At 35.1% G+C, this 13,533-nt stretch overlaps 1 protein-coding gene and 1 pseudogene across 1 annotated transcript in view; both read left to right on the plus strand.

Moving 5' to 3' along the window:
• GLCCI1 (glucocorticoid induced 1) overlaps nucleotides 1-13,533 on the plus strand; it is a 120,285-nt gene that overhangs the window by 3,212 nt on the left and 103,540 nt on the right. The window lies entirely within an intron of this gene.
• LOC100421597 (peptidylprolyl isomerase like 4 pseudogene) lies at nucleotides 8,270-10,422 on the plus strand (annotated as a pseudogene).

Here is a 13,533-nt window from a genome sequence, read left to right on the forward strand (position 1 = left end):
ACTTCTCCATGTCCCGCCTTTTACCCCCACTACCCAAATTAAAACTGTCCTACTAAACTGTTCTGTTTCCTTAGCCATTTAAAATCCATGATCTGAACAGTTGATTTAATTTTTCGAATGATTATCTTCTCAATTTCTTTTGAATGCTGTAAGGTTCTGACTTGAGTGGATTTTAGCCTCCACTGGTCAAGGTTCCTGCCGCTGCCACTGCTGCTGCAGACACTGACATCACTATACTGCATGAATGAAAAACAACAACGTGCTCCATTTCTTCCTCTGCTCTCCACCTCCTCCTTTTTCTGCACACTTCAGTGTATGTGTGTGTGTGTGTGTGTGCGCGCAAGAGGGTGTTAAAACTGCGTTTGAAACTACACTTGAAAGCATTAAGTAGTTGATGGCTCAAGGGGTAGGTATATAGTATAAAGGCATATTGTTTATGAAAAGCTGCAAGGGCTATGGGCATTTCGACTAAAGGTGACATAACTGAGCATTCAGTGTTTCATGCATTTCATCTGGAGTGATGATTATAGGAGAAAATATGGAAGCTTAAAAATGTTTTTATGATTCTTTTACCAAAAAATTATGAAACCACTCAATTTCTAAATAAATTATATCATTATCTGCGTCTTAAGCATTCTTAATGTGAATATTTGTAGGGCTAAGGCTAGAGTAATAGAGAATTGATATTCAGATTGTTTCACAAGGCTGAGGAAAAGCTGAATTCTATAAATAGGAATAGTCAATTTTAATATTATTATAATATTAATTTATACAACCCAGGAAAAAATGATAATTTCCTTTATTTTTGTAGTATAGTTTTAAATAATTTAAATGGTTACCATAATAGAAATACGTAAATTGCCAAATACCTTGCTGTATATATAGCAGACATGGAGTTTTACAAATTGAAACTGTTTTGTTTGTGCTCATGCATCATCCTCTTTTTGCTTGTTTTTTTTCTTTTGTATTTTTAAAACTTCAAGGTTTGTTATTTACATTCATTCCTGTACTTCTGCCATTAGTAAAATGTCATCCTCCCTCTTGTTTGGTTCTGAAGGGTATTGCAGTGGTGAATGACAGGCTGCTGAATGAATCCTCAGGCTCCCTGTGATGTGTTTGTAATAGACGTAAAATCATAAAGTATTATGCAAATAGTTATTTTTTTGTAATGGTAATACATAAAGTCTACCTTTGAGATAAATAGAGCAACTCAAATGAGAAAAAGCAGGATGTTAGTGTTAAAATTAATGATCTTTAAGCTAAAATCATTAGTAACAACCAAAAGAAAATATAGTAAAGTTGCTTCTTTTTGAAACCTCACAGACCAGAACCCATGGATTTAAACATAGAACAAATACAGTTTTACTGTCCAAGATAGTAAGTAGGAAATGCAAATCTTTGTGTGCGTGTGTGTGTGTGTGTGTGTGTGTGTGTTTTGTAAAGATAGATCATTAGGATTAATTATAAGTTCTAAAAGATGTAAAAACAGTCATATTTAGAATACTCTGGATGGAGAATACAGCTTATTTTTAAGTGTACCAAATCTGATAACAAAAACATGGAAGAGCTTGTAATTTATATAGCTCCTGTTTTGAAAAATAGCATATGTTAGTTCCTGATTTAACATATCAGGTTTATTTAGGCCTAATACTCTACCAGATTGCTAACTCTAGAGTGAAATTTGATTAGACTTTTTCATGAGTATCTTGAGAGCCTCATTGTTTTATACATAAAGAAGTTATGATTCTATTCTAAAAGATAATGCAAATATAATGTTAACTCCATGTAATATATGTTTGCCTGTGTTCATTCATTTGCTTTCAGTTTTTCTCTTTTCCTTAAATTTATCTTTTTAAGTCATTTTTATACTGTGCTCAATGGAATACAAAAAATTTTAATAACTTTTTCTCTTTTAAAAGAGATACTCAGATATTCTCTTTCTATAAAGTTTTATTCTCAGGCTATTCTTGAAAATTAAGATCCTCCCTTTCCATTTTAAAATTAATTAATTTTCCTTGAGTGCTTATAGATACTTGTTTCAAAGCTTTCTTCTACATTAATGTTTTAGCTTTTTCTAAAGAGACAGGTTTCACATACTGACTTTTGGGAAAGGTTTTCATTCTCAGAAAACTATGCTAGAGAGCAGCAGTGTTCATTATTTACAGAACTATTTTTTTCCATCAGTTATCTCATGGTGCCTAAAATTTCTAGATCAATCAGTGAATAGCAAAATAGATAAATGAATTTATAGTTATTTAATCAAAATCTATTGTCTTATGTTCAAAGATTATATTCCTCTCAAATAACTGTTATTGTAAGCGTATTGAATATTGAATACCTAGCATGTGTAAATCATCTTAATCAGTTTTTAACTGTATGTAAAGTTCTGTGTGTATATATCGAACTGGAAATCATTTTATTAATTACAGTACTTTTTACAGAAGGACTGCCGTGTACGTTTCTGTAAGGACTTAATGCAAATTAGGATTTGTACTTTGGGGAAATGTTGAAGGATAATGGCGTCCTTGTGATTTTTGTTTTACTTGTGATAAGTCAGACTACATGTGAATAAGAAAATAAGGGAGTAACTGGGCTCCACAGCAGTGAGTGGAATGGAAATAAATGACAGTGTTCAACAAATGGCTAGTCGGAGAGGGTTTTCCTTAGTCTGAAATTTTAAAAAATTCTAAAAGTCTGTTTTATTAAAATGTTCACAGGTAGTTAATAATCTGCCAAAGAGTATAGTCTAATGACTTAGTTCTTCTTAATTTTAGTTTGGTCTTTTCTCCAGAACTTAACATTTCCAGACACCACTAAGATAGACTTTCTGGCAGCCCCTGTCCTAGTCTGTGTCTGGCACTGCTTTTTGTCTTCAGTATATAATTTATTCTTTTATTAAGTGTCTAAGAAGCTAAATCACTGACACTCTTTTTGTGCTACATACTGTTTAATTATTTTAACGAGAGGTTGAAAATATCTAACTTCTGGTTTCTGCCAAAAGTAAGTGGAGGAAAGGGAACACAAGTACTCATATATTGATATAGAAAGCCTAGGGAACTGATGGAAGGCAGATACTACCTGTATTTCCCTCTGCTCTTCATTTGGACCCTTGAAAGTGACCATAAGTTGACTCATCATTTGGCTATTCTGGAAGAATTTTTGTGCTTATTCTGAAAGACAAATTATAATGGATTAGCAGTAATTCTGAAAAATCTAAGGATTTTACTTACGAACAAATTGTGGAAAAGTATTTCATTGTAGCATGAACAAACATGGCAGATACCTTTAAGCAGTGTTGTTTATTCCAAGTGAATGTTACTAAGGCACATACCAAGTTCATGAATACCTCAGTGACTTCCCCTATACTATGCTGTGTCTCTAGTTTTAGGTAGGAAAGAAGAAAACATATATTTGTGTGCTAACTATATACCAAGCAATGTATACTTTGATTCAGCAAGGATTTAGGATGTGGATCTTCTCATTCCAGATCCAGTGTTCATTCCATAAGACTATGCTGTTGCTCCTAACTCAAAAAGACTCTAATGTTGATGATCAGCTGTGATTTCTAAGCTAAAAGAATGACAAAGGAATTGGTTTTCTTTTGTTTCCATGGCACTATTACGCTGTGCTGGGGTATGGTCTGACATTTTCAGAATGTCTAAAAATGTGAGACCTAGTTTGTTGAATGTAACTAAAATAAAATATAGATGGATTGGCCATTTTTCTCCATTTCTTTCTTGCATATAAGGAGAAAGAGACAGAGAGAATGTGTGTGTGAGAGAGAGAAATCCTTGTTTCTGAGATAGAGAGAGAAATTCTTGTTTCTGAAGATAGGAACATGATTGTATCTGGGCTTTCTTGTGTGTATTCAGAATCGGTACTGTCCTCGAATCACTTTGTAGTGAATATAAGTGCTTTTCTCCCCTTTTCTCTCTTCATAAATGTTAAAAGTTAATTACATATGGTGCTAAACTGATGGAAGCTTCAGGAATCACTAAACAGAGACTGGTCTCAAGTGATTGTCCCAGCAACTGGCACTAGGTTGATTCAGCCCTCCCAAAAGACAACAGGCTTCCAAGAATCTGCAATTTGTGGGTTGAACAGTGTACGTATATAACTTAATGAAGTCCACCATCGTATACCTTAATGATGGCTCACCAAAAAGAATGATGATTTAAAGAAGCTAGTGGGCTGGGCGCAGTGGCTCATGCCTGTAATCCCAGCACTTTGGGAGGCTGTGGTGGGCAGATTACTTGAGATCAGGAGTTTGAGACCAGCTTGGCCAACATGGTGAAACCCTGTCTCTACTAAAAATACAGAAATTAGCCGGGCATGGTGGTACACCTCTATAATCCCAGTTACTCGGGAGGCTGAGACACGAAAGTTGCTTGAACCTGGGAGGTGGAGGTTGCAGTGAGCTGAGATCATGCCATTGCACTCCAGCTTGGGCAACAAGAGTGAAACTCCATCTCAAAAAAAAAAAAAAAAAAAGGAAAGGAAAAAGGAAAGGAGAAAGGAAAAAGGAAATAAAAGAAAGGAAAGGAAAACTAGTAACCCACGGTTGTGTGGCAAGGTCAGTGTCCAAAATTGTCTACCAGGTTATTAGAATTGTTAAGAAATCCTGCTGGGCATGGTGGCTCACACCTGTAATCCCAGCACTTTGGGAAGCTGAGGCAGGCAGATGGCTTGAGTTCAGGATTTCAAGACCAACCTGAGCAACATGACAAGACCTTGCCTCTGCGCAAAATATAAAAATTAGCCTGGGCATGGTGGGACACTCCTGTAGTCCAGCTACTCAGGATCCTCCTGAGTGATCCTCAAGGAGGATCACTTGAGCCCAGGCGGCAGAGGTTACAGTGAGCTGAAATCACCCTACTGCACTCCAGCCTGGGTGCTAGAGTGGGGTGTTGTCTCAAAAAAAAAAAAAAAGTTAAGAAATCCACCAACCATCTAGATGTGTTTCGTAATGAAAAGGTGAAAACTGCTACAACTTCCTGTCTAGTGTTACTGAAGATCAAATACTTATTAACTACTGACAGTAATAATTCCTTATTTATTCTCTGTAGCCATAAAGAAAACTTTTGTGAATAGTCCGTATAGCTAATTTTAACTTTTACATTACTAAAAAATTAGCTTTCTGATGAAACATTTTCTAACGTCATTACACACTTGATTGTTAAGCACAGTGAACAAGACATAAACGAACTCCTTGTGGCTTGATTAGCTTTATTAATAACTTATTGATAACATATACATAAAATTGATTACTATAGATGATATTGAGAATAAGACTGAATGAGTATTGACTGACTAGACTTGTGCTATAACTGATTCTATAAATTTGCTTTTGGGATTATTTCCTGTTTTTCTGATGAAGGTGGAGCAAAGCATGTTTGACTGAACTGGTCCTTGATAGTATAACCGGGCTGTTTTCTCTAGAACTAATTATCAAATGAAAGGCCAAAGCAATTATTTTCCAAATGGTTCCATAGACATGTCGTAGAGGCATAAATGTATCCTGGGAAATACTAGATTTGGAGTCAAGAAACCTGAGTTCTCTTTTCAGTTTTGACATTTGTCTTATGACAAGCCACTAACTCTGCATCTTATCTTCTGTGTCTTTAAAATGAAGGGGATAGACTTTTTAAGATTTTGGTTGGGTAGGGAAAAGATTGAGCTATTTAAAGGAAAAGAAAGTTTATTAGACTAGATGATTCTTAAAATTTTTATTTATTGAGCCTTTATGCCAACTAATAATCTTTGGTAGAATCCAATATAAGGTACTTTTATTAACCTCTTTTCACAGATGAGGAAATGAGGTCCTGGGAAGTTAAGTAATTTGCCCAAGGTCAGGCAGCATGCACAGGGCTCTTGTAATGCTCTAAGTCCTGACTTCAAGATAGCTGAAAGTTGTTGTTGGAACCCAGTTAGTTATGGGGCAGGAAAGTATGCACAATGTATTATCCCACTGCTTATACAGTTAAGTCATAGAAAGGCTAAATATAGCTTTGGGGCGGTGAGGGAAGAAGAGAAAGCTAAATGGGACTAGACGCTAGGGTGCATGGAACTTAAAATAGCTGTAAGTATCCCCAGTAATTATGCCATCATTGGGCCTTCCCTTTGGTCCCTAAAGGACCTATCACTTTGTTTAGACAGAATTTAGCATTTTATTTTTAAAAACTTCCTTTCACATGAAATTTCAAAATCTGGGTAGAATAAGGTCTCTTTTTTGTGTATTCATATTTGGCAATGTAAACTTTAAAAAATCTGCCCATTTGTAATGTATTATAAGGCTACCTTCAGCCCCATAATTATGATTCTCTACATTTATCATCCTTTGATATTTTAGCAACATTTAACATAGTATCTTTTTATACAACACTGTCATGGCAAAGCAATGCACACTACCTTAAAAAAATTATTTATATGTACTTGGCTCTTTCACTTCTTTTAGGTTTGTTGATGTAATATAGAAAATAAATTTTAATCTCTATTTTAATAATTTCTTCTGGGGTGTTTTGGCATTTTTTCAATGTCATTTGTGCTTACTATAAGTTCTGCATAGTAGTTAATGTGGAAACGATTTTCTTTTATAAGTAACATTAGAAATTGTGTTTATTGTTAGGAGAGCAAAAGTATTATATAGAGTCTTTGTGATGGATAAAGTTTCTCATAACATTTCTTCTGTAATTATATTTACTTTTCTAGTTAAATATATCAGTTGTACATTGAATTAGTGAAGTGTAATGCTGGTATCTTAGAAGATAATAAAAACAGTAGGACTCAGTGGCTCAGGGTTACATCAAGTCTAGCCATATGGAAACTTTACTATTCCTCATACAAACTTGTGAAGTGATCTTTCTATGAAGGTACAAAAATATCATAGTAAAATATAGATTGGTTTATATTAGCTAATTATAAACAAAATGTATTTATAATATCTTTCGAAGTTTTGTAAGTGTCATTTTATTTCTTCTAAAGTATTCTTGGAGTTACTCTGACACATTGACCTTAAAAGAATCAATCAACAGTCCTCTTCCTGCTTTATGTCAGATCATTTAAGTGTCTAGGACTTAACTAAACTGGTGTTGGCAAACATTGCTAAATGCAGTTTCATTAGTATTGCAAAAGTGAGGATTTAGACTGTGCTCAGAGATTAGATTTTTGAAAAAAGCTACAGTATTCTGCAATATTTCGATCATAGAGCTTAAAAAGTGTATTTCAAAGGTCTATTAATACTTTACATGCCAGAGTGACCTCTTAGTTTGTAAAAAAAACGCATTCAGGGAATTGCATTTGCTCACTTTTTATCTTTTTAGGTAACAAATAGTGGGTCAAATTCTTAGCAGATTTTAAATGAGTTATCCTTGTTCAGAAATATGCTATTGTCACTGAGTTTTAGATTTTATATATGAATTGTTTATTTCTAAGTTAGCTTGAGCTTTTTCTGGTGTTCTGTTTTGAAGTTGCCACTCTGTTTATGTGTATTTTTCTTTCATTAGATGAAGCTTGAAATATTAATTGGTTCATCCTATGGTTTCTATAACATACTTACATCTAACGTATCTTGCTGCCTTTACCTATTATAATATTATACTATAGTTTAGCCTAGGATGATGTCACTGGCCCTTTCTTTCTATGCATACATATACATTAGTGCAGAAGTCTGAACTGTATTGTTGAATGTGGCTTCTTGTGTAGTAATGTAGTAATATGTAGTAATAATACTGTGTAGTAATCTTGGGCAGTGATGCCTTGTGAGGCTGTTGAGATAAGGAGGAATTGGCTTTGTCTAAATATCTGCTATTGCTGAGCTAGAATGGGAAGTGACAAACTTTTCATGTGTTATGTCACCATTTACCTGAAACTTTGGTTGAATGCAGTGACCCATTTTTCTTTCTCTTCTTTTATTTTTTCTTTATCTTTCTGTCTTTCTGTCTTTCTTTCTGGCAGTGTCTCGCTGTGTCACCCAGGCTGAAGCACAGTGGCACAATCTTGGCTCACTGTAACCTCTGCCTCCTGCCTCAGCCTCCCAAATAGCTGGGACCATGGGAGTGTGCCAGCACACCTGGCTAATTTTTTGTATTTTTAGTAGAGATGGGGTTTCGAACTCCTGGCCTCAAGTGATCCACCTGCCTTGGCCTCCCAAAATGCTGGGATTATAGGTGTGAGCCACTGGACCTGGCCCTATTTTTCTTTCTTATAATCAGACTTTACCTATTTTCAGTTTCTATTGACTTTTAGTTTTTGCCTTAAAGAATATTAGTGACCTCACCAGGGCTTATAGCTGAGGAGAAGTGGGTGCCATGGCGGTTCTACTGGAGACTACTGTGGGCAATGTGGTTGTCAATTTGCACACTGAGCAGCAGCCTTGCAACTGTGAACTTTTTGAGAGCAGGTACCACAGTTTAATGGCATTTGTGATGGCAGTGCCAAGCATCTAGAAGGTACTCGCCTGCTTTAATTTCTTGAGATATTACAAAATAAAATATTACAGTTATTGCCTTATTCACAGTATACAAAGGTATTTTATCATACAAACTGTTGATCCTACAGGGACTGGTCATGGAGGAGAGTCTATTTTTGGCCTAGGATTGTATGGTGATCAAGCAAGCTTTTTTGAGACAGAAAACGTCCCAAGAATTAAGCACAAGAAGAAGGGCACAATGTCCATGGTGAATAATGACAGTGATCAACATGGATCTCAGTTTCTTATCACTACAGGAGAAAATCTAGATTACCTTGATGGTACCATACAGTATTTGGTGAGGTGACAGAAGGCATTGACATAATTAAGAAAATAAATGAGACCTTTGTTGACAAGGACTTTGTACCATATCAGGATATCAGGATAAATTATATAGTGATTTTAGATGGTCCATTTTGATGACATTCCTGATTTATTAATCCCTGATCAATCACCAGAACCTACAAGGGAACAATTAAAGAGTGGTAGAGTTGACACAAATGAAGAAATTGATCATTTCAAACGAAGGTCAGCCGAAGAAGTAGAAGAAATAAAGGCAGAAAAAGAAGCTAAAACTCAGGCTTTACTTTTAGAGATGGTGGGAGACCTACCTGATGCAGATATTAAACCTCCGGAAAAATCTGTGTATGCAAATTGAATCCAGTGACCACAGATGAGGATCTGGATATAATACTCTCTAGATTTGGGCCAATAAGAAGTTGTGAAGTTATCTGGGACTGGAAGACAGGAGAAATCCTCTGTTATTTCTTTCTTTCTTTCTTTCTCTTTTTTTCTTTCTTTCTTTCTTTCTCTCTCCCTCTTTCTCTCTTTCTTTCTGTCTCTCTTTCTTTCTTTCTTTTTTTGTTGAGATGGAGTCTCACTCTGTTGCTTAAGCTGGAGTGCAGTGGCACGATCTCGGCTCACTGCAGCCTCTGCCTCCTGGGTTCAAGTGATTCTCCTCCCTTAGCCTCCCAAGTAGCTGGGACTACAGGCGTGTGCCACCACACCTGGCTAATTTTTGTATTTTTAGTAAAGACAGGGTTTTGCCATATTGGCCAGGCTGGTCTCGAATTCCTGACCTCAGGTGATTCACTTGCCCTGGCCTCCCAAAGTGCTGGGATTACAGATGTATGCTTTTATTGAATTTGAAAAGGAAGAAGATTATGAGAAAGCCTTCTTCAAAATGGACAATATACTTATAGATGACAGAAGAAAACATGGATTTTAGCCAGTCTGTTACAAAGGTTAAATGGAAGGAAAAAGTGGGAAATACACCAAGAGTGATTTAAAGGAGTATACAAAGGAACAGGATAAACCATCTAATTTGGTTCTGAAAGATAAAGTAAGCCCAAATAGGAGGCAAAATATAATGTTGTACTAGATGAGCAGGCAGAAGACTCCAAGTCAAGTCACTCACACACAAGTAAAAATCACAAGAAGAAAACCCATCACTGCTCTGAAGTAAAAGAAGATGAAGACTACATACCAATCAAAAATATTAATCCAGATAAGTATGAGAAAGTTTGGAGTTTGGTCACTACGAAGAAGAAGAAAGCTGTTGGGAGAAATGAAAGAGTAAAAAGAGAGACCGAACTCAGAACTGAAGTCGTAGCTGATCGCAAGAGAGGAATGGCCATTATAGTAATAGTCACAAATCCAAATACCAGACATCTTTATGAAAGAGAAAGGAGTAAAAAGAGACTGAAGCAGAAATCCAAAGAAAAATCCAAAGATAAAGAAAAATCTAAGTACAGATGAAAGATGAAGAGGCAGAATTGAGTGGCTAACATATTCACCCTTGTCTAACTTAGAGTGCCAGGAAAGCAGGTGTTCAGATTTTGTGTCAGAGCTTGTTATTTTTTTCATACTAGGATTATCACCCTTTAGATTATTAATACTGATTATATAGGGCACTGAAAGAACTCAACATTTTCTTTGTATACTTTTTTACACTAATGTTATTGTTATACATAAATGGTAGTCTTCATTTTTGAAGTCTTTCACATTTTTACTCTTCTTTTAAAATGAAGTATTTATGCTACAAAAATACATAAACGTGTTTATAAAGGCAAAGGGATAATAAATATGAATATCTGTATACTCATCAGCCAGCTTAAGATCTAGAATATTGCCTATACTTTAGAAGTCCCCTAAGAACCCTCTCCCTCTCAAGTAATTATTTGGAAATTTGTGTTTGTCATTTGCTTTGTACATAGGTATCTCTAAATGAAATGTTAATTTTGTATGTTTCTCAATTTTGTATAAATGGCATAATGTTTGTTTACTTTTGTGACTTTCATTTTTATTGCTGTATTGTATTATATGAATACTTATTCTTCTGTTGATGTACATTTGAGTTTTATTTAGTTTTGTTTTTGCTGCTGAAACTGCTGCTGTGAACATTGTCTGTCTAGGAGTTATAGTGCTTGATCATGTGCTATGAGTATCTTCATTTGTATAAAATAATGCCAAATTATAAAAAATATTAGAATTATAGCCTTTAATATTACTATTCAGTTATGTTAGCTAGTCTTTAGGACACTTGCCCCGTTGTACTTTGTATTAAACATGTGGTCAAAAAATAATGTCTTTATGCGGATATTCCTGTTTAATGAAGTACGTGTTGTAGTTAACTTCTTGGTAAAGCAAACAATGTTAAATGAATCATATTTTGTGGATTTTCTTTTTTATGGGCATATAGAACACTGAAGAAAATCTTACGGCCTCTGACTATAACCATGTAAGAAACTGTATAAAATTGTATGTAGGAATTTTAGGAAATAGGGAGGTATAGGAAAAGTAATGAAATGAATTATAATTAATATTTGTTTTGTTCATTTTAAAATATTATTCTATTATTGAATTAAGTGCCTCAAAATATAAAATAAATGTATAGTGCAGTAGCTGAATCTTTGATTATTTGACCCACTGTATTATTCCATAGTTAATGTAGTGATTCTAGAGGCTTTGATAGTTTAGTTATGATTTTTCATTTATCTTGATGTTTTTATAACTCTGTATTCAAGGTAATTTTGGTGGATATCTGTGCTTCACCAAATAATAGCATGTCATTTTTAGTATTCCAGCATCTACTATGGTTTCTGGTGTTTAGAAAGCCAGCCTTGCAGTAAATATTTTTTAAATCCTTACATAGGGTTTATATAGAGATTTCTGTTTAGCTATATATGTTCAAATCTGTGATTTGAACCCAGCTACATGAACAATGATTGTTAGTGCATGCAAGTCCTGTGAATATCTGACAAAGGTTAAAACTAATAGATTATATTTGTGTTGCCCATTTTGTAAAAATGCCTAATAGTTTAGGTAACTGATGGTTTTTATCTTCATTTAAGGCCTGTTATTCAGTGGTAGTGGTGGAAAAACACTGATTTAGACTTTCACACAAAATAAAAGGAGCTGGGTGCTCTTGCTGGTAGAGATAGGTGGGATAAAGATGGGTGATGTCAGCATAGTCCACATATTAAAAGATGGAAGATAGATTTCCACAGAATGAGTTTCTAAGTTACATTTAAAGTTCTATTAAGTGAATTTTGATTTAGTGAGGCTCCATGGACTCAGCTTCTGAATTTTTGTTTGTTTTTTTTGAGACAGGGTCTCACTCTGTCACCCAGGCTGATTGCAGTGGCGCAATCATGGCTCACTGCAGCCTCAGCTTCCTGGGCTCCAGCAATCCTCCCATTTTAGCCTCTGGAGTATCCAGGACCACAGGCATGTGCCACCACACCTGGCTAATTTTTTAATTTTTATAGAGACGTGGTCTCCCTATGTTACCCAGACTGGTCTTGAACTCCTGGGCTCAAGGAATCCTCTCACCTTGGGCTCCCAAACTGCTGGTATTACAGAGCCACCAGTGCTGACCCTGAATCTGTTATACTTAGAGAAACTAAACCATCCATGCCCAAAATTTGGTGGGCTCTTCAAGTTAAAAATTCTGATGTTTTTATAGTCCCTCCTAAAGACTGTGGTAATACTGAGCTCCAAGTAAGGAGAATGTGAATTATATATTAATTTGAACTTCATCGTAATGTAAAAACTTTAAACTGTAAAGCAGATTTTGAGGTGGTTATTTGCTCTACGCAATATCTAACTTATGTGCAGGTAAAATGACCCAATTTACAAAATGTTATTTACGCAAACTTTTTAGGAAGTCAGTTACACAAGGTTGAGGTTCATCTGAGGTTGTAAAAACATATTAACTGAATAGTGTAATTTCTCATTGCTGAATAAAATGTTCTACTGAGATTTAGCAAAATTAATATCCTAAGAAACTATTATAAATGAACATGAATACATCTTTTCCATTCCCTTTCTGTCTGAGTTTTACAATTCTGAGGAATGTGGTATTCAAATAACCCCTAAAAGGGAAAGAACTCATATATGCTAATGATTTTCTCACATTTCTGTGAAAAGATATGCTTATATTGGATAAATATCCCAAGACTTTTTCTGGAATATTTTGTCCTTATTTAAAAAAGTATTACTTTAGTTATAGTTCCCTAGGAAATTATTCCTAACCAGCCTCATATTTCTGTCCTTCTTCCAAGAAAAACTTTCACAAAACATTCTACTCTTGTCACTGTCAGGGGGACAGAGCAGTAAGTAAGCATAATTAGACTACAAATATGGTTAGTGCTGTAGATTATGATTTTGTGTATATTTGTATATTTCTACAGGCTGATTTTAATTTGTTGTTTTCGTATATACTTAAGGACCCAGGGAAATGTGTGTATGTATGTGTATGAGAGAGGGAGGGAAGGAAGGAGGGAGAGAGAGAGGGAGAAAGAGAAAGAGAGTAATAGCATGCGCACCCTAAAGTTCACATTCCTTTTTCAGCAATCACTGGATAATCCCTGGCTCCTGACATTTTCTCCATACAGAGTAGAGGTTCATGATCACTTTTTCATAATACTTTAGGTAATTTTAATATACTGAGGGATAGTGACTTAGGATTTGCTCACTTCGTATAAGATAAAACCAATGATGGGCACACATTTACCTGTGTAACAAACCTGCACGTCCTGCACATCTATCCTGGAACTTTAAGT

This window comes from Homo sapiens, chromosome 7 (genome assembly GCF_000001405.40).
Source record: "Homo sapiens chromosome 7, GRCh38.p14 Primary Assembly".
Taxonomy (NCBI): domain Eukaryota; kingdom Metazoa; phylum Chordata; class Mammalia; order Primates; family Hominidae; genus Homo; species Homo sapiens.